Here is a 23,083-nt window from a genome sequence, read left to right as displayed (position 1 = left end):
TCATGTCCAGGAGTTGGAGGAGGCAGTGAGCTATGATCATGCCATTGCACTGCACTAGGCCACAGAGTGGGACCCTGTCTCAAAAAAAAAAAAAGAAAGAAAGAAAAGAAAGGGCTCATGTAGTTCAAGCCCTTCTCTTCATGCAAGGGGATGCTAAGGCCCATGATGGTGAAGGGCCTGGCAAAGCTTGCACAGATAGTGTGTGACAGAGCTGGCTCAAACCCATCTTTGGGAGCTGTCTAATCTCTTTTTCTGAGTCTTTATGTTCATAGACAAGTTAGGATGAGTAAAGTAAGTGCTAAATTCCATATTTCGTGTTCTGCATATCTGGGCTCAGATGCTTGTCATTTTCCAGTGATAACTCCATCAATGCCTCCTAGTGGTATAAATTTTAATACTTCTTGTGTGCCCAGCCCCCTCTTAGAAATTTGAGATTTTAGGAAGGGACTAGTAATAAAAGGTAAAATAAATTATTTTCTGGCCAGGCATGGTGGCTCACACCTGTAATGCCAGTACTTCGGGAGGTCGAGGCAGATGGATCACCTGAGGTCAGGAGTTCAAGACCAGCCTGGCCAACAAGGCAAAATCCCATCTCTACTAAAAATGCAAAAATTATCCGGGAGTGGTGGTGGGTGCCTGTAATCCCAGCTACTTGGGAGGCTGAGGCAGGAGAATCACTTGAACTTGGGAGGCGGAGGTTGCAGTGAGCTGAGACTGTGCCACTGCACTCCAGCCTGGGCAACAGAGTAAGACTCTATCTCAAAAAAAAAAAAAAAAAAAAAAAGGCCAGGCGCAGTGGCTTACACCTGTAATCTCTCAGGAGGCTCAGGCAGGAGAATCACTTGAACCCGGGAAATGGAGGTTGCAGTGAGCCGAGATTGCACCACTGCACTCCAGCTCAAAAAATAAATAAATAAATAAATTATTTTCTTTTTTTATTTATTTTTTCAGCATCCACCCAACATGGTGAAAAATTCCTCTTTTCTTAATGTCACTGAACTGTAAACTTAAGATGAAAAATTGTAAATTTCATGCTATATATATTTCACCACAATAAAAAAATTCCTTGTTCTTATTGTAGTGGTCTCCATGTCTTCAGTATTTCCTTCCCCTTCTCCATCTCACCTGTATACATTCACTTTGGTAATTAGCATCTTTCTTAATTTATTGGCAGGATAACGTCATTAGCAGAATCTCAACTTCAGACCCGTCAACAAATTAAGAAACTGGAGGAGTTGCAGCAAAAAGTTTCCTACAAAGGGGACCCCATTGTACAGCACCGGCCGATGCTGGAGGAGAGAATCGTGGAGCTGTTTAGAAACTTAATGAAAAGGTAATTTAGCATCCTTGTCCCTTTCCCTCATCTAAAAAATACCTAAAGACTCACGTGGTAGAGTGAGAGGCGGGCTGACTTCTGGTCATGGCCGTGGCGCGTGAGCCCATCTTCTCTTTCCTCAGTGCCTTTGTGGTGGAGCGGCAGCCCTGCATGCCCATGCATCCTGACCGGCCCCTCGTCATCAAGACCGGCGTCCAGTTCACTACTAAAGTCAGGTAGGCCATGCCACTTCCATTTCCAGTAGAGATTTTACTGAGGGACACTGTTAGGGTGAGGGTAGAGTTGGTGGCCAGGGTCATTCTTTCCAGGTGTGGTGTCACAGGCAGTACACTGTTGCGGGGTTGAAATTTGTTGCCATACTATCTGCTTGCTCTCTGATTCTGATGTCAAAAGCAAAAGAGCAGTCATCTTTTTGAAGGTACCTGGGCATATTCCTATGATTGTAGACCTGGAGTCTCAGGCCACAGCTTCTCCTTCTGCCCAAGGGACAAAATAATGTCATCTATTTTCTGTTCTTTGAGGCTACTCTTCCCTGTGGATTTTAAGGGAAAGAGTAAGGCTTAGTGATGGGGAAGCTGAGAGGCCCCAGGGCAGGTGGGTGGTGGGCCTGTAGGGTGAGGTGTTACTTTCACACTCAAGTCAGAACAGGTGTGCTGGGGTTTTGACCTTCTGCAGCAAAATTTCCCTCCTCAGAAACTTAGTATGGTGTTCGGTTTCAGGATTAATAGAACAAAATGCCAGCTGCACAGCATGTGTTCCTGTAATATTTTTCATTATATGGCTTTGATTATCCTTTTGTGAATCTCTCACAACTTTAAGTTGTTAGTTCTTAGATGTTTTCTCAGTACCTTTGGCTTGAAGGAGTGATACTCATCTTTTGTTTTTGTTTGAGACAGGGTCTCACTCTCACCCAGGCTGGTGTGCAGTGGCATGATCTCAGCTCACTGCAACCTCCATCTCCCAGGTTCAAGTGATTCTTGTGCCTCAGCCTCCTGAGTAACTGGGAATAGAGGTGCGTGCCACCACACCCGGCTAATTTTTTTTTTTTTGAGACAGAGTCTCGCTCTTTCGGCCAGGCCAGAGTGCGTGTTGCAATCTCAACTCACTGCAACCTCCACCTCCCAGGTTCAAGCGATTCTCCTGCCTTAGCCTCCCTGAGTAGCTGGACCGGCACACTCCACCATGCCCGGCTAATTTTTGTATTTTTAGTAGAGACAGGGTTTCTCCATGTTGGCCAGGCTGGTCTCAAAACTCCTGACCTCAGTAATCCACCCACCCCGGCCTCCAAAAGTGCTGGGATTACAGATGTGAGCCACCACGCTCGGCCTTTTTTTTTTTTTTTTTTTTTTTGAGATGGAGTCTTTCTCTATCACCCAGGCTAGAGTGCTGAGGTGTGATCTCGGATCACTGCAGCCTCTGCCTCCTGGGTTCAAGTGATTCTCCTGCCTCAGCCTCCCAAGTAGCTGGGATTACAGGTACCTGCCACCATGCCCGGCTGATTTTTGTATTTTTAGTAGAGACGGGGTTTCACCATCTTGGCCAGGCTGGTCTCGAACTCCTGACCTTGTGATCCACCTGCCTTGGCCTCCCAAAGTGCTGGGATTACAGGTGTGAGTCACCGCACCCAGCCCTATTTTAATTTTTTTAAAGAGAGAGATAGGGGCCAGGCACGGTGGCTCTCGCCTGTAATCCCAGCACTTTGGGAGGCCAAGGTGGGTGGATCACCTGAGGTCGGGAGTTCGAGACCATCCTGACCAACATGGAGAAACTCTGTCTCTACTAAAAATACAAAATTAGCTGAGCGTGGTGGCGCGCGCCTGTAATCCCAGCTACTTGAGAGGCTGAGGCAGGAGAATCACTTGAACCCAGGAGGCGGAGGTTGCGGTGAACGGAGATTGCGCCATTGCACTCCAGCCTGGGTAACGAGAGAAACTGTCTCAAAAAAAAAAAAAGAGAAAGAGAGATAGGATCTCGCTCTGTCATCTAGGCTAGAGTGCAGTGGCATGATCATAGATCACTGTAGCCTTGAACTCCTGGGCACAAGTGATCCTCTTGCCTCAGCCTCCCGAGTAACTGCGACTACAGGTACATGCTACCACACCCCGCTAATTTTTAAATTTTTTATAGATGTGGGCTCTCACTTTGTTGCCCAGACTGTTATGGAACTCCTGGGCTCAAGGGATCCTCCCAGCTTGGCCTCCCACAGTGCTGAGATTATAGATGTGAGCCTGTAATTATAGACAGCTTGGCCTATTTACCTGTTGGAAATGAAGAATTATGAATTTTACATTTCTTCAAGAAAAGGTTATGGGAGAGTTACTGACTTTTTTTCCTTGGATTTTTTCTTTTTAAATAGGTTGCTGGTCAAATTCCCTGAGTTGAATTATCAGCTTAAAATTAAAGTGTGCATTGACAAGTAAGTACTCCTATCTTAGCTCTGTTTTTCAAATGAGGAATAGAAAAATGAGAACTTTGACAGACATCATTTGAACTAGAGACTCTGTCTTTATTCAGAGATCTTCATTTTGTGGACAAAAGTTTTCAAAAGCCTTGGGGTGCATTGTCATTTACGTGTCTGAACAAAGCCACAAAGCTGGGGGTACAGATTTGATTTGTGGTTGCTATTGTGACAACCAGTCCCTCTTTTCCTTGTTTAGTTTTTTACTTGTACATGTCATTCATGCATATTATATATAAGACTGAGATCATGTGTTAATTAACGACTGGGATACGTTCTGCAAAATGTATCATTAGGCAATTTTGTTGTGCAAATGTTGTAGAGTATATAGTCCTTACACAAACCTGGGTGGCAGAACCTACTGCACACCTACGCTATGTGGCAGAGCCTACTGGTCGTAGGCTGTAAACCTGTACAGTATGTTACTGTGCTGAATACCGTAGGCAATTGTAACACATCTCAATGAAGTAGGAATTTTTCAGCTCCATGATAATCTTATGGGACCACCATCATATATGCATTTTGTTGTTGACCGAAACGTCGTTATATATTCTTTCCATACATAGCATGTGGAAAGAATAGATCTCTTTTTTTTAATTGTTCCACACTTTACCATATAATGGAATACGCAAAATTTCACAATACCTTTCAGGATGTAAAATACATATACCCTTTGACGACATTAGAAAAGAGAAAATGTGGGCCGGGCGCGGTGGCTCATGCCTGTAATCCCAGCACTTTGGGAGGCCGAGGCGGGCGGATCACGAGGTCAGGAGATCGAGACCATCCTGGGTAACACGGTGAAACCCCGTCTCTACTAAAAATACAAAAAAACTAGCTGGGCGTGGTGGCGGGCACCTGTAGTCCCAGCTACTCAGGAGGCTGAGGCAGGAGAATGGCATGAACCTGGGAGGTGGAGTTTGCAGTGAGCCAAGATCACACCACTGCACTCCAGCCTGGGCGACAGAGACTCCATCTCAAAAAAAAAAAAAAAGAAAAGAAAAGAGAAAATGTGGCTGGGCGCGGTGGCTCACGCCTGTAATCTCAGCACTTTGGGAGGCTGAGGTGGGCAGATCACCTGAGGTCGAGAGTTCGAAACCAGCCCGACCAACATGGAGAAACCTTGTCTCTACTAAAAATACAAAATTAGCCAGGTGTGTTGGCGCATGCCCGTAATCCCAGCTACACGGGAGGCTGAGGCAGGAGAATCACTTGAACTCAGGAGGTGGAGGTTGTGGTGAGCCGAGATCACACCATTGCACTCCAGCCTGGGCAACAAGAGCGAAACTATCTCAAAAAAAAAAAAAGAAAAAAGAAAAGATAAAATGCATTCTTATTTTTAGTTGATGTAATTATGTGGAAATTTCATGAGGATGCACTGGAAAATAATGAAATAAGGGAGTTGACGAAGGTGGTAGGTTTAATAAGTACATATGCAATATGAAACATAGGTTCCCCTTCCTATGGGGAGGCAACCAACTGTGCCTGCTACGCAGAGGTGTTATGTTGCGCTGATCAACTGTAACTGAATAGTTTAAAGAAATGCCCAGGAGCACAGAGGTTTTTTCATGACAGTAAATAACAGGTGGTCAAAGTAGGCTTTTTGAAGAAACACAGAGCCTATTTTATTAACAACAGTCTGTGTTCTTACAGAGACTCTGGGGACGTTGCAGCTCTCAGAGGGTAAGTTCAGCCTAGAGGCTTCCTTTTGTTCCGTTTAACCTAACTTCATCCTCCGGCTACTTGGTCACCTACATAGTTGATTGTTCCCCTGTGATTCAGATCCCGGAAATTTAACATTCTGGGCACAAACACAAAAGTGATGAACATGGAAGAATCCAACAACGGCAGCCTCTCTGCAGAATTCAAACACTTGGTATGTGGGAGGAGCTCCCCTTCACAAAGGGCCTCTGGCTGCCGGAGAGGGCTAGGGAGAGCCTCACAGGACACCTGCCTTTTTCTTTTCTTACAGACCCTGAGGGAGCAGAGATGTGGGAATGGGGGCCGAGCCAATTGTGATGTAAGTTTTGTTGGGGATGAAAGACAACTGGGGTGTTTTCCTTGAGGGAGAGAGGGGTAAAGATCCTTCTTAATCCCCAGAATTAGAAACATCAACCTGTTCTTTCAGCTGTAGTTATTCCAAAAAGTCACTTCAGGCCAAAGTGACATGAACAGAAGTTCCATGTGCCATGGAGCTCTCTGGCTTGGAACATTTCCGTGAATATCTGGGAGTTGGCTCCTCCTTAAGGAGAAGTGGAAAGTCCCTTGCTGAGTTGTTCTCCACACCCATGTGGTATAAAGCAGCTTTCCACCTTGCCTGGGGCTTTCCAAATTCCCCATCCAGCTCCTGCGGCTGACCCTGCTTGGCTCCATTTTTAGTGCCCTGTTTTTCTCTCCCACTGAGGTGGGATAGAGGGTGTAAAAGCAACAGATTTGAGTTAAACTTTAAAATAAATGACCACCTTGCATTAGCTTGCTTAGGAAAAGAGTACATAAAATAAAATGAACAAACAAAAACCCATCTTGTTCTTTATCCCCCTTATTTTCTGCTTTTCATTGATTCAGATTATTGGATTCTTATTGTCAAGAATAAACTTTAAACAAACAAACAAAAAAAGGTAAATGTGACGGAAGGCTAGTTTTCAGTCATTTTTAAAAATTGTGATGCCCCGTTCTTTTTCTTACATTTGTCCCCTGAACAATTCTTCCTCTTTAAAATGTAGCAGTCCTAGCTGGGCGTGCTGGCTCACACCCCGTACTTTGGGATGCCAAGGCAGGCTGGTCACTTGAGGTCAGGAGTTCAAGACCAGCCTGGCCAACATGGTGAAAGCCCGTCTCTACTAAAGATACAAAAATTAGCTGGGTGTGGTGGTGCACGCCTGTAGTCCCAGTTACTGGGGAGGCTGAGGCATGAGAATCGCTTGAACCTGAGAGGTGGAGCTTGCAGTGAGCCAAGATTTTGCCACTGCACTCTAGCCTGGGCAACAGAGTGAAACTCTGTCTCAAAAAAATAAATAAAATAAAATGTAGCAGTCCTTTTTAAAAATGTGGAATTTTACTTGACAGTAGAGTGAAGTAGCCTGTATGCAATGATATGGGAAAATGTACATGACATATTAAGAAAAAGCAAAATGTAAAATAATTTGAATAGTATTATTAGTATATGTGTTTTAAAAATACACTATACTCTTATGTGTATTCATATGTATATTAAGAAATTCTGGAGGAATATACCAGCAGTGCTATGTGTATTAGTGCTGCTGTTGGTATCCATGGCTATTCTAGACTGTCTCTGTGATATTTGCATTTTAAACTGAATATATTACTTTTATAATCAGAAAAATAGTATTAAAAATGAATTATAATTTAATTTCTTTTTTCTTTTTTTTTTTTGAGTCGGAGTCTCGTTCTATCGGATTGCAGTGGTGCGATCTCAGCTCACTGCAACCTCTGCCTCCTAGGTTCAAGCGATTCTCCTGTCTCAGCCTCCCAAGTAGCTGGGACGATAGGTGCATGCCACCACGCCTGGCTAATTTTTGCATTTTTAGTAGAGACAGGGTTTCACCATATTGGTCAGGCTGGTCTTGAACTCCTGACCTCGTGATCCACCCATCTCGGCCTCCGAAAGTGCTGGGATTACAGGCATGAGCCGCTGTGCCCAGACTAGAATTCAATTTTTGAGAATTCATTGACAACTCTTACTTAAAATAAGGTTGCTGTACTGATGTGAGACATTGTTGTAGTCAGTTTGGAAAACAATTTGGCAGTATAAAAATGAACATACCTGTAAACCAACGGTGCCATTCCCAGGATTTAATAGCAGAGAAATCTTTGCATATATGTCCCAGGAGACATATATAAAGTGGACATCAGCCTGATTATAAGCTCTAAATGCAACCCAAATAAATACCCATCAACATTAGAATGAATACATTATTTGTGGTATAGACACAATGGAATACTCCGCAGCTGTGAAAAGGAATACACTGCAGATACACATAACCATGTGGATTCATTTCACATCAAGTGAAAAGTGAATCCCAAAAGAATTCATTGGAGTCCATAAGTGTAAGGTTCACAAATGTCCCAAACTAAACAATACCTGCATTGCTTAGATAAACAAATATGGTAAAACTGTAAAAAAACAAAACAAAACAAGACAAAAAGGGCTAGGAAATGATAAACCCAAAAGACAAAATAGCAGTTATTTCTGAGGGAGGAGGGAAGGGGATGGGGTTGGGGAAGGGCACCCAGAGAATTTTAGGAGTGATGGACTTTTCCTTAAATTGAATGGTGGGTTCATATTGTTTTGTTATTCTTTGTGCCTTACGTATTTTACAAATAACCAATTGGATCTATGTAATATTATAATACAAACTGAGTAAAGGATTAGGTTGAGGATCACAGCATTGGAAGTTCTTGGTGTTGAAGAGAGTAAGTGCCGAGCAAGTTGTGTCCCTGGCAGTTTGTTTGTGACCACCTGGTGGCTTACCCTTCTTGGTGTGGTGAGGCTTGGCATGTCACTTTCCTTGGCTGTGGCTGTTAGTACTGAATGCCATTCTCTCTGAGGAAAAGTGTCCTTCTCTTTTTTATTGATTGACTGATTGATTGAGACAGAGTCTCACTCTGTCACCCAGGCTGGAGTGCAGTGGCGTGATCTCGGCTCACTGCATCCTCTGCCTCCTGGGTTCAAGCGATTCTCCTGCCTCAGCCTCCTGAGTAGCTGGGACTACAGGCGCCCACTACCACACCCAGCTAATTTTTGTATTCTTAGTAGAAACGGGGTTTCACCAAATTATTGGCCAGGCTGGTCTCGAACTCCTGACCATGTGATCCACCTGCCTCGGCCTCCCAAAATGCTGGGATTGTAGGTGTGAGCCATCACGCTCAGCCTTTTTTTTTATTTAATTTAATTTTTTTTTAAGACAGGGTCTCACTCTGTCACCCCAGCTAGAGTGCAGTGGCACAATCATAGCTCGCTGCAGCCTCCATCTCCTAGGCTCAAGCCATCCTCCCACCTCAGCCTCTCGAGTAGCTGGGGCTATAGGTGTGCACCACCACACCCAGCTAATTTTTGTATTTTTTGCAGAGATGGAGTTTTGCTGTGCTGCTTAGACTGGTCTCGAACTCCTGGGCTCAGGCAATCCTCCTGCCTTGGCCTCCCAAAGTGCTGGGATTACAGGCATGAGCCACCACACCTGGCCTAAGAGTGTCCTTCTCGTTACTGTAGGCTTCCCTGATTGTGACTGAGGAGCTGCACCTGATCACCTTTGAGACCGAGGTGTATCACCAAGGCCTCAAGATTGACCTAGAGGTAAGTTCTGCAGCAGAATCGGTGAGAGGCTACGTACAGGGGTGACTCAGGACAAAAACTTCCACTGGGATTTTTACAAGAGAAGGTGGAATGATTACTGTTTGCTTAACACTGTGTTTATTTTTGCTTACTTTTCTCCAAAAAAATCCTTGGCATCCCATCTGGCAATAAAGTCTTGCTTGAATGCTTAGAAGATGTGTGTATATTCAGCTTTCAGCAAACTTGATATGAAAATCTCTATTTAGAAATTGATTGGCCGGGCGCGGTGGCTCACGCCTGTAATCCCAGCACTTTGGGAGGCTGAGGCGGGTGGATCACGAGGTCAGGAGTTCGAGACCAGCCTGGCCAACATGACGAAACCCCGTCTCTACTAAAATACAAAAATTAGCTGGGTATGGTGGCGGACGCCTATAATCCCAGCTACTCGGGAGGCTGAGGCAGGAGAATCACTTGAACCTGGGAGGCAGAGGTTGCAGTGAGCTGAGATTGTGCCATTGCACTCCAGCCTGGGTGACAGAGTGAGACTCCGTCTCAAAAAAAAAAAAAAGAAATTAGAACTGACTTTATAAAGTTTGGGCATAAGAGTCTTAGCAGCCAGTGTGTTTAGTATACAGAAAATTGTGGCAATGACATTCTCCTTTCCCAACTTTCTTGATTTTTAAATTAAGATATACCTAGAAAAGCAGGAATCCTGGTCTTTGATTCCTGAGACCTCCCTGTTTCATGTGAAGATACAGCTTCAAGTCTTGGAGAATGCCTCCAAGGTCTTAAAAATGGGGAATCTGTGGATTGTGAGTCAAGCTTTGAGCAAGTCAGGTTTTACAAGGGACCGGTATATTCCGACTGCAGCCTGAGTTGTGTGGCCACGCTGGGCATTCTTTCCACTATGAGTGCTCACTGAGCTGACTCACTCACACTCCTCGCCTAGAGTTGGCAGCAGGTGTGGTTTATGGCATGTCCTTTCATTCTGAGCCCCGTGAGATGCGGGTGAAGAGATTTCCAAGGCTGTGAGAGCCCCTCTGCCTCCCCAGCTCAGTCCCCACTCCCTCCGCAGACCCACTCCTTGCCAGTTGTGGTGATCTCCAACATCTGTCAGATGCCAAATGCCTGGGCGTCCATCCTGTGGTACAACATGCTGACCAACAATCCCAAGGTTAGTGCCCCCTCCTTTTAGTTGGTGCCCCGGGATCTCTTGCGACTTAGGGGTACCTAGTATAGACAATGAGCACCATCCCTCATCTAAACAAGCAAATGTGTTCTTTCCAATAGAATGTAAACTTTTTTACCAAGCCCCCAATTGGAACCTGGGATCAAGTGGCCGAGGTCCTGAGCTGGCAGTTCTCCTCCACCACCAAGCGAGGACTGAGCATCGAGCAGCTGACTACACTGGCAGAGAAACTCTTGGGTCCGCATTTCACCCCTTCTCCCTCCCGCCCACCCGCCCAGAAAAGGGATCCGGCCCATAGGGCTGTTCATTTGGGCCATGTCTACTGAGCATTAGGCCATGTTTCTTTCCTGAGCAAGGCGCTGTGCTGGTGCCAGGAAACAGGGGAGTTGGGGAGTTGGGGTGCAGAGACAGTTTGCAGTTTTCAGTCGAGGTGATCATTTTTGAGGTGGGAGGTAGATTTCTTTTCTCCTGGTTGCTGTCTCATTCACCCACTCTATCTAACTTTAGAAGATCTTTTAAGTGTGTGTTGGAAGGTGGCACTAAAGGCTTGACATTCCCTGTCCATTTTTTTAATAAACTATAGGCTAGTTGGTTTTTTTTGTCTTATTTTATTTATTTATTTATTTTTTTGAGACGAGTCTTGCTCTGTTGCCCAGGCTGGAGTGCAGTAGTGTGATCTCGGCTCACTGCAACCTCCGCCTTCTGGGTTCAAGCGATTCTTCTGCCTCGGCCTCCCGAGTAGCTGAGACTACAGGTGCTCACCACCACGCCCAGCTAATTTTTGTATTTTTAGTAGAGACGGGGTTTTACCATGTTGGCCAGGATAGTCTCCGTCTCTTCACCTCGTGATCCGCCCACCTCGGCCTCCTAAAGTGCTGGGATTACAGGCTTGAGCCACTGTGCCCAGCGTAGGCTAGTTTTTAAAAAAGAATTAGTGGAATATTTTATGTGCCACCTGGGCTAGAAGTAGCTTTGTTCTAATAAAGCTGTTGCCACCAAATACACCTGTCTGACACCCGATGTCAGCTTGTTAGTGAGTGCTGCTGTTGGTTCCCAGCCTACCACCCGAGGTTGGGAAGAGCAGGGGGACTTGTTATATCACCCTCCATCCCTGCTGGGCTACCCAGCAACACAAGTGAGTCAAATGATGGGATAGTGTTTGTCCTCATGTGCACACACACAACAGTGCCTACCTTCAAAGATGTGAAAGCTGATTATTTTGTGGCCCATTGTGGGATGAATGTGTGTGTGTTCTGTTTTAAGAAATAACCTCTTGACCCCAAGCTGAAAATGTACTACTTGACTCTTTTTCTTTCCTTCAGGACCTGGTGTGAATTATTCAGGGTGTCAGATCACATGGGCTAAATTTTGCAAAGTAAGCAATCTTGTTAAATTCTCGTGGGAATGGGAATGCTCACCTGCACGGCTGTCGTTGAGGGCTCTGGCTTGAAGGCCCTGAACTCTTGGTCCAGCGGCCAGTAGGACCTGCCTGAAGGTAGACGGGCCTGAGGATTTGGGTGATGCACTGCACCCCTAGGAAGGGAAGGGCTGGGATGGCAGTAGACTTGGCTTTCCCATTACTCTTTTCTCCAGGAAAACATGGCTGGCAAGGGCTTCTCCTTCTGGGTCTGGCTGGACAATATCATTGACCTTGTGAAAAAGTACATCCTGGCCCTTTGGAACGAAGGGTAGGTTGGACAGAGTGTGCACAGATGTAACCAAGTCCCCTGCTCTCAGCAAGCCAGTGGCAGGGGATGGATGCCCTGTTAGCAATAACAACATTGTTCCTCCTCCTTGGCTCCAGGTACATCATGGGCTTTATCAGTAAGGAGCGGGAGCGGGCCATCTTGAGCACTAAGCCTCCAGGCACCTTCCTGCTAAGATTCAGTGAAAGCAGCAAAGAAGGAGGCGTCACTTTCACTTGGGTGGAGAAGGACATCAGCGGTAAGGGAGGCTCCCACCCACCCCACCTGCTGGTGGCTGCTGAGGCCTCATCACTGCTTCTAGTTGCAAGCACCTACTGCCCCCTGGTGGGTGGAGATGGCCTTGACTCCCTGTTTCACTCAGACTCGCAAAACACATTTGCGTGACTTCTAAATCCTTCCAGCTGAAGGATTGGTTTGCTTTGTTTTGCTTGCTCCAGTGACTATTTGTTGAGAATTTTGCAATTTAAATTGTATTCTTCATCTCTTTTTCTACTTAACCCTGTTAATATATCTTACGCAAGTAGTTATATTCAAGTTTATTTTCTATGACCCAACTAGTAGCCTCTTCTTAATTAGAAGCCAGCCTGAATATTTCCACAGTGCCAGGCCACTGAACAGGGTGTTCAGGGTCTCAACACTAGGGTGGCTTAAGTCTTTTCCCCTTCGAGGAAAGAAAAAATGGGCAGTTTTCTCTGAGATGACCTAGCTGTAGGTTCCATGATCTTTCCTTCCCATGTCCTGTGACAGGTAAGACCCAGATCCAGTCCGTGGAACCATACACAAAGCAGCAGCTGAACAACATGTCATTTGCTGAAATCATCATGGGCTATAAGATCATGGATGCTACCAATATCCTGGTGTCTCCACTGGTCTATCTCTATCCTGACATTCCCAAGGAGGAGGCATTCGGAAAGTATTGTCGGCCAGAGAGCCAGGAGCATCCTGAAGCTGACCCAGGTAGTTGTTGATTTTCCATGTTCCTGGCATTTAATTTTTGGGAAAAGTTGGAAATTTTGGGATCCTTGGAGGATAGATAGGCAAATGCCTGAATAACCTGGGGGATAATTATTTCTCCTTATGGGAAAGAATTGTAGTGAGTGCTTTTGTTGGGGTGACCGATGGGATTTGAGAGGAGAATCAGAATCACTTAGAGTAGTGTAGTTCCTGCTCCACAGAGAGTGCATGAGTCTAAAGAGGGGATACAGCCTGGGCAATATGGTGAAACCTCGTCTCTACAAAAAATCCAAAAAAATTACCCGGTGTGGTGGCACGCATTTGTAGTCGTAGCTACTTGGGAGGCTGAGGTGGGAGGATCACCTGAGCCAAGGAGTTCAAGGCTGTAGTGAGCGGTGATCATGCCACCGCACTCCAGCCTGGCTGATAGAGTGAGATACTGTGTCAAAAAATAAAAATAAAGAGGGGATCAATACACATACGTCCCCCAAAACATGCCTGAAACACGAGAAGGGAAAGTGAGGGCAGTTAACAGGATGCCCTGCTGGCACAGTGCTTCTTAGTAGATGCTAGAAGGTTTGAGGCCCAGATTTCAGCCCAGCATATGGCTTTTTGCCTGTAACTGAACCATGTCAGTGTGCCAGATGGTCTGAAGAAAGGGTTTCTGGAGGAAATTATTATTAGCTGCATGGGAGTATGGTTTACACTAGAGTAGAAGAGCTGGGAGCATCACGTTTGAAGGGGAAGACAGTGACTGGGTGGAGGGGCAAGGGATTAGTATTTAGAGTGTGCAACTATTGAAAATAAGGTATATTTTAATGTGTAAGAGGACATGTACTTATATGTTATATATAAATTATTTTAGCTGGGTGAAGTGGCTCATGCCTATAGTCCTAGCACTTTGGGAGGCCCAGGCGGGAGGATCACTTGAGCCTGGGAGTTTGAGAACAGCCTAGACAACATAGTGAGACCCTATCTATACAAAAATAATTTTTTTTAAATTAGCCACGTGTGGTGGTTTGTGCCTGTAGTCCTAGCTACTCGGGAGGCTGAGGTGGGAGGATTGCTTAAGCCCAGGAGGTTGAGGCTGCAGTGAGCCATGATCGCACCACTGCACTCCAGCCTGGGTGACAGAGCAAGACCTTGACTCACCAAAAAAAAAAAAAAAAAAAAGAGAGAGAAATTAAAAATACTGTAATCTCAGCTGGGCATGGGGGTTCACACCTGCAGTCCTAGCACTTTGGGAGGCTGAAGCAGGAGGATCACTTGAGGCCAGGAACTCAAGACCAGCCTGGCAACATAGCAAGACCCCACTACACACACACACACACACACACACAAAGAAGAGAAAGAAAAAAACGAAACAAAACTGTAATCTCTGCAGCTGTCCTCAGTGTGGAGGGGGTAGCCCTGTCTGTTCCCCTTCAGCACTTGCTGTTTTGACTCTCTGGGTTCTTTGTGCAGGTCTTGATGGGGAGTCTCTGGTTTGCCATTCTTTGTTTGATTTAACTTTCTGTAATCATAAAGCCAATGATGGGCTTTTTTTTTTTTTTTTTTTTTAGACTAAGTCTTGCTCTATCACCCAAGCTGGAGTGCAGTGGCACCATCTCGGCTCACTGCAACCTCCACCTCCCGGTTCAAGCAATTCTCCTGCCTCAGCCTCCCGAGTAGCTGGGATTATGGGCTTGTGCCACCATGCCCAGCTGATTTTTGTATTTTTTGTAGAGAAAGGGTTTCGCCATGTTGGCCAGGCTGGCCTCGAACTCCTGACCTCAGGTGATCTGCCCACTTCAGCCTCCCAAAGTGCTGGGATTACAGGCGTGAGCCACTGTGCCTGGCCTAATGATGGGCTCTTTAATGTGATCCTTTAGGGTTGGCGCCTTGCCCTAGTTGCTGTTGAAAAAACTATTTTTGTCCAAATAGCACACACACAGAAACCTACCAACTTCCCTCCCACTTTTTCCTAGGAATTCCTTCTGAGGGATTTCTTGAGATGGGGCAGAATGGGGCTTGGAAGAGGGAGTTGGAGCTAATTGACCGTTGCCTTTCTCCTTTGTTGGGGTCCTGAGTCTTGTTCCTGCTGTAAGAGTTACTCACTTCCTGTCTGCCACCTATCTCCCTTTGCATGTGTGCTTCAGTTGGGAGATCTGTTTATCAGCCCCTGCCACACGGCTCTTTGTTCCTTCTGCAGAGGACGTTGGGGTCCCACGGCTGGTCCTTTTGACTCATTTTGCTTTCAAGGTCCCACCTCCCAGTCTGAGGCTGCATCCTCCATTACCATCGCCCTTCCTGTGGGCTGGGAGGCCAGGTCCTTTCCTGCCCAGCGATGTCAGCGTTTCCTCAGGGGCCAGGCACTCATCAGGAGAAAGGAACTAATTACTTGAGTAATTTGCCTTGCCTTGCTGAGAGGAGTGTGCCCTGAGGGACTCCATGTGAGTGTGGTGACGGGTGTGGGGGTGTCCCTGTGTTATTTTAAAATGGGTGCCTTCAGGACGATGAGCATGTGACCATTTCCTCTCTATTTCCATCACAAGAGTATTATGGTATGAGGGTCTCAGGTTAGATTATCCTCCCAAGACTCTTCTCTCTTCCTTCTCTACTGGAAGCCCACATAGCATTTCCTTATGGCTTGAGGGAGAGGTTCGGAGCCACTTACAAATTAGATAAAGTACATTTACAATCTTGTACAAAGCCACACAATGAAGTCATTTTTCTCAGCTTTTTTTTTTTTTTTTTTTTTTTTTTTGAGCCTGAGTCTCGCTCTATCGTCCAGACTGGAGTGCAGTGGCGCGATCTTGCTTCACTGAAACCTCTGCCTCCCAGGTTCAAGAGATTCTCATACCTCAGCCTCCTGAGTAGCTGGGATTACAGACATGCACCACTATGCCTGGCTAATTTTTGGATTTTTAGTAGAGACCGGGTTTCACCCTGTTGGCCAGGCTGGTCTCGAACCCCTGACCTCAAGTGATCTTCCCGCCTGGGCCTCCCAAAGTGCTGGGATTATAGGTGTGAGCCACAGTGCCCAGCCTTGTTTTTGTTTTTGTTTTGTTTTGACAGTCTGTCACTCTGTCACCCAGGCTGGAGTGCAGTGGTGCGATCTCACCTCACTTCAGCCTCTGCCTCCCAGGTTCAAGTGATTCTCCTGTCTCAGCCTCCTGAGTAGCTGGGATTACAGGCGTGCCACCACGCCCAGCTATTTTTGTAATTTCATTAAAGACAGGGTTTCCCCATGTTGGTGAGGCTGGTCTTGAACTCCTGGCCTCAAGTGATCCACCTGCTTCAGCCTCCCAAAGTGCAGGGATTACAGGCATGAGCCACTGTGCCTGGCCTCAGCTATCTTGAATGCTGGAGAATTAAATCCTTTTCTGTCTAGGGTGTCAGCTCCCTAAGGGCTGGGCCAAAACAGTTGGATTTATAAGACACTAGAGTCTTGCCTCAGTAGCTCCTTTGAATTCTGCACTGAATTGATCAGTTTCTTGGCCCAAAGTAAACTCAGATGGCAGCCCAAGAGCCACTCTGCAGTGCCTTCTTTCACATGGTCATCATGCTCTCTGATCCCTCAGGTTCTGTCTAAGCCTCATGTTTTATGACCGTGCTGTTCTCAGCCCACCTCACCCTGCCCCATGCCTTCTCAATGGTTTGTTCACCTGAATTCCCCAGATTTCATGCCAGTATCCCCAAGGTTCCTTGACCTCTTGGTGTAAGCATTCAGCATCTAAAATTCATTTTATTCCCGTCAACGCATTTCTAACTGTAGAACAAGAATTATAAATGACAAAGCTCATAGAAAATTGGCACCTTGTCTTCCCCCTCCCTCTTATTTTATACATAAAAGAGAATATGGGCTGGGCATTGTGGCCAAGGCTGGGCATGATAGCTCATACTTGTAATCCAGCACTTTGGGAGGGTGAGGCAGATGGATCACCTGAGGTCAGGAGTTCAAGACCAGCCTGGCCAACATGGTGAAACCTCATCTCTACTAAAATTACAAAAAAAAAATTAGCTAGGCATGGTGGCAGATGCCTGTAATCCAGCTACTCAGGAGGCTGATGAAGGAGAATCACTTGAACCCTGGAGGCAGAGGTTGTAGAGAGCCAAGATGGCGCTACTGCACTCCAACCTGGGCGAAAGAGAGCAAGACTCCGTCTCAAAAAAAAAAAAGACAAAAATTAGCCAGGCATGGTGGTGCCACCTGTAGTCCCAGCTGCTTGGGAGCCTAAGGCAGGAGAATCGTTTTGACCTGGGAGTAGGAGGTTGCGGTAACCGAGATTGTGCCACTGCACTTGAGCCTGGGCAACAGAGTGAGACTCTGTCTCAAAACAATAAGAACAACAGCAACAAAAGAGAGAGACCATGCCTTGCTCCAGGTCTCTTAGCTATTGAAGATGTACCTGGACCCAGGTCTCCGGTCTTCTAGTTGAAGCAATTGTACTGCCTTACAAAGTCACATTCTCTTTGGTGCTTTTTGATTGACGTATTTATCCAACTAGAAAGTTACTCATGCCCTCATCCAAAAATGTGGTAGAGGCCAGATTAGTGCTGGTAGGAATAAGAGATATAACCTTTGGCTTTGGAACCACAAGCATTAGCAGTCTCCATGTTCTTTAAAGACTTGGTGATATTGGTATTTAGGCTGGACACCATGCAAAGACTACACAGGCTCGGTTCCTGCATGCAGAGAAGTTATCTAAGAGATATGACCAGGCCGGAATAGAATGCTCAGACCACGTGGAGGCTGTTAAACTTTTACATAATCTAGGGAAAGAAGGGACACAAGGTGGCATTAGTCTAGGGTCAGGTGGGAAAAGGTTATGCTGAAAAGTCTCTGCAGCTCAGGACAGCTTTGTGCAAAGAACTGAAGTTCACAGCTGCTAGTGCCTGGGAGATCAAATAGTATAAATGAGGGCAGACAACCCTGAGGGGCAGATGGAGCTTTCCAGACAATCTTGGCATGAGGATGAGTGAGTTTCAAATCAGTCCTGCCGAGGCAGATGGCTTCCTCCAGCTCTGCTTACTGAATGCGAAGTCACAGTCAGTAAGAAAACTGGTTTTCTTCTTCCCAGGCGCTGCCCCATACCTGAAGACCAAGTTTATCTGTGTGACACCGTAAGTGGCTTCCTTTCCCCGTTTTGCCTTCATTTCTAATATCCTCAGTTATCCCTGGGAATGGGACACTGGGTGAGAGTTAATCTGCCAAAGGTTGGAAGCCCCTGGGCTATGTTTAGTACTCAAAGTGACCTTGTGTGTTTAAAAAGCTTGAGCTTTTATTTTTCTGTTGGAGACCAGAGTTTGATGGCTTGTGTGTGTGTGTTTTGTTCTTTTTTTTTTTTCCATTGTGTCTTGTCAACCCCCCGTTTCCCCTCCTGCTGCCCCCCATTTCCTACAGAACGACCTGCAGCAATACCATTGACCTGCCGATGTCCCCCCGCACTTTAGATTCATTGATGCAGTTTGGAAATAATGGTGAAGGTGCTGAACCCTCAGCAGGAGGGCAGTTTGGTGAGTATTTGGTTGACAGACTTTGTCCCTATAAGGGAAGTTGGTCCCCTTTGTGTGATGCTCTCACATGTACACACCGAGAGCTGGTCACTCGGAATGGTAGGAGATTCTAGAGCTTTGCTTTCCAAAAGAGATGGTATGAATGCCACATGTGTGAGTATAAATCTTCTAGCAGCCACACTGGAAATAGACGAACTTAATTTTTACAATATATTTTATTTAACCCACTAAATCCAACATACTCTCAATTTAACATTTCAGAAAAAGTTGAGGCTGGGTGAGTGGCTCATGCCTGTAATCCCAGCACTTTGGGAGGCCGAGGTGGGTGGATCACTTGAGGTCAGGAGTTCGAGACCAGTCTGACCAAAATCTCTAAAATATAAAAATTAGCTGGGCATGGTGGCGCATACCTGTAATCCCAGCTACTCAAGAAGCTGAGGTGGGAGGATCGCTTGAGCCTGGGAGGTGGAGGTTGCAGTGAGCAGAGATCGTGCCACTGCACTCCAGCCTGGGCGACAGAGTGAGACTCCATCTCAAATAAACAAAACTAAACTAAAAAGAAAAAGTTGAGACCTTTTTTTATTCTTTTTTTTCATACTAAGCCTTTAAAATCCAGTGGGCTTTTGACAGCCACAGCACAGCTCAGTTTGGACAAACCAAATCTCAAATGCTTGGTGGCCACGTGTGTCTCGGGGCTCCTGAATTAAACAGTAGATCAAGGGCAGAAGATCTCAGGACAGCCTTAGAGCTTCTGTAAACATGGAGCTCTGGGAATCAGTTAAGGTGGGAATGAGAAAGGACCCTTCCCGAGGCAGGGTCCTCCAGGGAGGAGGGTAAATCTGGCTTTTCTGACCATCCCTGGGCCTTAAGGGGCAGGAGATTGGATAGCAGTGGTAGCCTGGGCCCTGTCCTCTGAAGGGCTGGGGGCGTGGCCTGCCAGTTGCAGAGGGTGGACAACTGAACTAGTTTTCCCTGTCTGTCCCTCCAGAGTCCCTCACCTTTGACATGGAGTTGACCTCGGAGTGCGCTACCTCCCCCATGTGAGGAGCTGAGAACGGAAGCTGCAGAAAGATACGACTGAGGCGCCTACCTGCATTCTGCCACCCCTCACACAGCCAAACCCCAGATCATCTGAAACTACTAACTTTGTGGTTCCAGATTTTTTTTAATCTCCTACTTCTGCTATCTTTGAGCAATCTGGGCACTTTTAAAAATAGAGAAATGAGTGAATGTGGGTGATCTGCTTTTATCTAAATGCAAATAAGGATGTGTTCTCTGAGACCCATGATCAGGGGATGTGGCGGGGGGTGGCTAGAGGGAGAAAAAGGAAATGTCTTGTGTTGTTTTGTTCCCCTGCCCTCCTTTCTCAGCAGCTTTTTGTTATTGTTGTTGTTGTTCTTAGACAAGTGCCTCCTGGTGCCTGCGGCATCCTTCTGCCTGTTTCTGTAAGCAAATGCCACAGGCCACCTATAGCTACATACTCCTGGCATTGCACTTTTTAACCTTGCTGACATCCAAATAGAAGATAGGACTATCTAAGCCCTAGGTTTCTTTTTAAATTAAGAAATAATAACAATTAAAGGGCAAAAAACACTGTATCAGCATAGCCTTTCTGTATTTAAGAAACTTAAGCAGCCGGGCATGGTGGCTCACGCCTGTAATCCCAGCACTTTGGGAGGCCGAGGCGGATCATAAGGTCAGGAGATCAAGACCATCCTGGCTAACACGGTGAAACCCCGTCTCTACTAAAAGTACAAAAAATTAGCTGGGTGTGGTGGTGGGCGCCTGTAGTCCCAGCTACTCGGGAGGCTGAGGCAGGAGAATCGCTTGAACCTGAGAGGCGGAGGTTGCAGTGAGCCAAAATTGCACCACTGCACACTGCACTCCATCCTGGGCGACAGTCTGAGACTCTGTCTCAAAAAAAAAAAAAAAAAAAAGAAACTTCAGTTAACAGCCTCCTTGGTGCTTTAAGCATTCAGCTTCCTTCAGGCTGGTAATTTATATAATCCCTGAAACGGGCTTCAGGTCAAACCCTTAAGACATCTGAAGCTGCAACCTGGCCTTTGGTGTTGAAATAGGAAGGTTTAAGGAGAATCTAAGCATTTTAGACTTTTTTTTATAAATAGACTTATTTTCCTTTGTAATGTATTGGCCTTTTAGTGAGTAAGGCTGGGCAGAGGGTGCTTACAACCTTGACTCCCTTTCTCCCTGGACTTGATCTGCTGTTTCAGAGGCTAGGTTGTTTCTGTGGGTGCCTTATCAGGGCTGGGATACTTCTGATTCTGGCTTCCTTCCTGCCCCACCCTCCCGACCCCAGTCCCCCTGATCCTGCTAGAGGCATGTCTCCTTGCGTGTCTAAAGGTCCCTCATCCTGTTTGTTTTAGGAATCCTGGTCTCAGGACCTCATGGAAGAAGAGGGGGAGAGAGTTACAGGTTGGACATGATGCACACTATGGGGCCCCAGCGACGTGTCTGGTTGAGCTCAGGGAATATGGTTCTTAGCCAGTTTCTTGGTGATATCCAGTGGCACTTGTAATGGCGTCTTCATTCAGTTCATGCAGGGCAAAGGCTTACTGATAAACTTGAGTCTGCCCTCGTATGAGGGTGTATACCTGGCCTCCCTCTGAGGCTGGTGACTCCTCCCTGCTGGGGCCCCACAGGTGAGGCAGAACAGCTAGAGGGCCTCCCCGCCTGCCCGCCTTGGCTGGCTAGCTCGCCTCTCCTGTGCGTATGGGAACACCTAGCACGTGCTGGATGGGCTGCCTCTGACTCAGAGGCATGGCCGGATTTGGCAACTCAAAACCACCTTGCCTCAGCTGATCAGAGTTTCTGTGGAATTCTGTTTGTTAAATCAAATTAGCTGGTCTCTGAATTAAGGGGGAGACGACCTTCTCTAAGATGAACAGGGTTCGCCCCAGTCCTCCTGCCTGGAGACAGTTGATGTGTCATGCAGAGCTCTTACTTCTCCAGCAACACTCTTCAGTACATAATAAGCTTAACTGATAAACAGAATATTTAGAAAGGTGAGACTTGGGCTTACCATTGGGTTTAAATCATAGGGACCTAGGGCGAGGGTTCAGGGCTTCTCTGGAGCAGATATTGTCAAGTTCATGGCCTTAGGTAGCATGTATCTGGTCTTAACTCTGATTGTAGCAAAAGTTCTGAGAGGAGCTGAGCCCTGTTGTGGCCCATTAAAGAACAGGGTCCTCAGGCCCTGCCCGCTTCCTGTCCACTGCCCCCTCCCCATCCCCAGCCCAGCCGAGGGAATCCCGTGGGTTGCTTACCTACCTATAAGGTGGTTTATAAGCTGCTGTCCTGGCCACTGCATTCAAATTCCAATGTGTACTTCATAGTGTAAAAATTTATATTATTGTGAGGTTTTTTGTCTTTTTTTTTTTTTTTTTTTTTTGGTATATTGCTGTATCTACTTTAACTTCCAGAAATAAACGTTATATAGGAACCGTCTGATAGCATGGCAGCTCTGTTTGGCTGGTGGAGGCTTCCTTTTCCCCTGCATAAGTTCTGAGGGGGCCTCACACACAGGTGGGGCCTGGGATAAGGGCCGGAAAGGGTCTTGAGAGGAGGTGGTTGCCTTAATCCCCCCCGCCAACCCCCTTATGTTAGCCACCAGCCCGGAGGTAAGGGGTGCCTGGAGGAGCAGGAGGTCAATAGTCCAACGGCAGAAAGGTGTCAGAGTGGAGGCCTCCCTCCCCGGCCCCCTCCTACCCCCCAGAGCGGCCTCGTCCTGTCTGGGGTCAGATAAGCCACCTAAGCGGGGTGGGGGGTAGATACTCCCACCGCACCAAGGCCTCCCCTTCCACAGTTGGCTCCTTTATCACTTTCCCTTCAGTTCACCCAGCGGGGACAACACGCAGACACCCGGTGGTGGCTGCAGGGCCCCCGGCAGCCAGCGGTGATAATGCAGGGAAAGGCGCCCCAACCTCAGCTACGCGGGCGCCCACAGGGCTTCTCCCCACCCCTACACGTGCCCCAGCGCCCTGGAGACCGCGCCTGGGAGCTACGAGCGAGCACCTTCCCTCGCAGAGATGGATCAGATTAGCCCCCTGGGGCGGTGGCACCTGCCCGTCCCCTCCCCTCCTCTCTTCTCCCACCCCCGCCTTCCCCCTGCTCTGGGCCCCCTGCACCTCCCTCTTGGGGCCCACGCGCCGCCCCTCTCCCTCGCTTGAGCTCTGAGCTCAGAAGGAACCTGCCCGCAAACCTGGCTCCCAGCCCCGCCCAGGGAGCGCGCGTCCCTGAGCCCAAGGGCCCCAGCGACAGCAGGGACTGGCTGCAGCCGGCAGTGCGGGGGTCCAGCCGGGGCGAGCCGGTCCCGCTTGCTGCACCTCCGCCTCGCACAGTCGCCGGCAGCCAGCTGAAAACAGCGCAGCCGCGTGGTGCCACCTGCTGGTCTCTGGGAAGGAGGAGGATGGGACGGTTGTTGCGGCTCTGGGACTGCCCCTGGCCCCGAGGGTTGAGAAGCATCTTGGCGCCGGGCCCTCAGCCGCCAGCTTCGAGGCTGCTGGGAGCAGCAGCTGCTAAGGAGAAGCCTGGGTCAGAGTTCTGCCCACCCGCGCCCATCTCCATCATTTCCCCAAACCTCGAGTCCCCTGCTTTTTAAGGAATCTGTGCCCCCTAAACTGGCTCCTTA

General features: G+C 47.3%; 1 protein-coding gene across 24 annotated transcripts in view, besides 7 other annotated features; it reads left to right on the top strand.

The window, feature by feature from the left end:
- Window positions 1-21,900, top strand: part of STAT3 (signal transducer and activator of transcription 3) — a 75,119-nt gene extending 53,219 nt beyond the window's left edge. For 5 of the 24 annotated variants that reach the window (NM_001369512.1, NM_001369513.1, NM_001384985.1 and 2 more), the window contains 16 exons: window positions 1,175-1,333; window positions 1,459-1,551; window positions 3,693-3,752; window positions 5,448-5,477; window positions 5,577-5,670; window positions 5,767-5,814; window positions 9,025-9,108; window positions 10,163-10,261; window positions 10,378-10,513; window positions 11,599-11,651; window positions 11,870-11,964; window positions 12,081-12,220; window positions 12,730-12,942; window positions 18,000-18,042; window positions 18,323-18,435; window positions 19,424-21,900. In NM_001369512.1, coding sequence (NP_001356441.1) covers window positions 1,175-1,333; window positions 1,459-1,551; window positions 3,693-3,752; window positions 5,448-5,477; window positions 5,577-5,670; window positions 5,767-5,814; window positions 9,025-9,108; window positions 10,163-10,261; window positions 10,378-10,513; window positions 11,599-11,651; window positions 11,870-11,964; window positions 12,081-12,220; window positions 12,730-12,942; window positions 18,000-18,042; window positions 18,323-18,435; window positions 19,424-19,479 — 1,516 coding nt within the window. In that variant the 3' untranslated portion in view covers window positions 19,480-21,900. Of the gene's footprint in view, window positions 1-1,174; window positions 1,334-1,458; window positions 1,552-3,692; window positions 3,753-5,432; window positions 5,478-5,576; window positions 5,671-5,766; window positions 5,815-9,024; window positions 9,109-10,162; window positions 10,262-10,377; window positions 10,514-11,598; window positions 11,652-11,869; window positions 11,965-12,080; window positions 12,221-12,729; window positions 12,943-17,999; window positions 18,043-18,322; window positions 18,441-19,423 lie in introns of those variants that run through there. The other 19 variants (NM_001384989.1, NM_003150.4, NM_001369514.1 and 16 more) reach the window with 13 other exon arrangements.
- Window positions 1,611-1,660: an enhancer, noted in NCBI's record as "active region_12196". NCBI's record gives its function as "activates an Ori minimal core promoter by ATAC-STARR-seq in GM12878 lymphoblastoid cells {active_cell/tissue: GM12878}" and the evidence as "EXISTENCE:reporter gene assay evidence [ECO:0000049][PMID:35858748]".
- Window positions 1,681-1,740: an enhancer, noted in NCBI's record as "active region_12195". NCBI's record gives its function as "activates an Ori minimal core promoter by ATAC-STARR-seq in GM12878 lymphoblastoid cells {active_cell/tissue: GM12878}" and the evidence as "EXISTENCE:reporter gene assay evidence [ECO:0000049][PMID:35858748]".
- Window positions 4,947-5,677: an enhancer, noted in NCBI's record as "OCT4-NANOG-H3K27ac-H3K4me1 hESC enhancer chr17:40481565-40482295 (GRCh37/hg19 assembly coordinates)". NCBI's record gives its function as "activates a minimal SCP1, AML or CMV promoter by ChIP-STARR-seq in naive and primed H9 embryonic stem cells {active_cell/tissue: H9 hESC(naive and primed)}" and the evidence as "EXISTENCE:reporter gene assay evidence [ECO:0000049][PMID:30033119]".
- Window positions 5,678-6,407: an enhancer, noted in NCBI's record as "OCT4-NANOG-H3K27ac hESC enhancer chr17:40480835-40481564 (GRCh37/hg19 assembly coordinates)". NCBI's record gives its function as "activates a minimal SCP1, AML or CMV promoter by ChIP-STARR-seq in naive and primed H9 embryonic stem cells {active_cell/tissue: H9 hESC(naive and primed)}" and the evidence as "EXISTENCE:reporter gene assay evidence [ECO:0000049][PMID:30033119]".
- Window positions 22,442-22,601: a silencer, noted in NCBI's record as "silent region_8524". NCBI's record gives its function as "represses an Ori minimal core promoter by ATAC-STARR-seq in GM12878 lymphoblastoid cells {active_cell/tissue: GM12878}" and the evidence as "EXISTENCE:reporter gene assay evidence [ECO:0000049][PMID:35858748]".
- Window positions 22,722-22,821: a silencer, noted in NCBI's record as "silent region_8523". NCBI's record gives its function as "represses an Ori minimal core promoter by ATAC-STARR-seq in GM12878 lymphoblastoid cells {active_cell/tissue: GM12878}" and the evidence as "EXISTENCE:reporter gene assay evidence [ECO:0000049][PMID:35858748]".
- Window positions 22,892-23,031: a silencer, noted in NCBI's record as "silent region_8522". NCBI's record gives its function as "represses an Ori minimal core promoter by ATAC-STARR-seq in GM12878 lymphoblastoid cells {active_cell/tissue: GM12878}" and the evidence as "EXISTENCE:reporter gene assay evidence [ECO:0000049][PMID:35858748]".

Source organism: Homo sapiens, chromosome 17 (genome assembly GCF_000001405.40).
Source record: "Homo sapiens chromosome 17, GRCh38.p14 Primary Assembly".
NCBI classification, from domain to species: domain Eukaryota; kingdom Metazoa; phylum Chordata; class Mammalia; order Primates; family Hominidae; genus Homo; species Homo sapiens.
The sequence above is the reverse complement of the archived record's forward strand: the minus strand, read 5'-3'. Positions and strand labels throughout refer to the sequence as shown.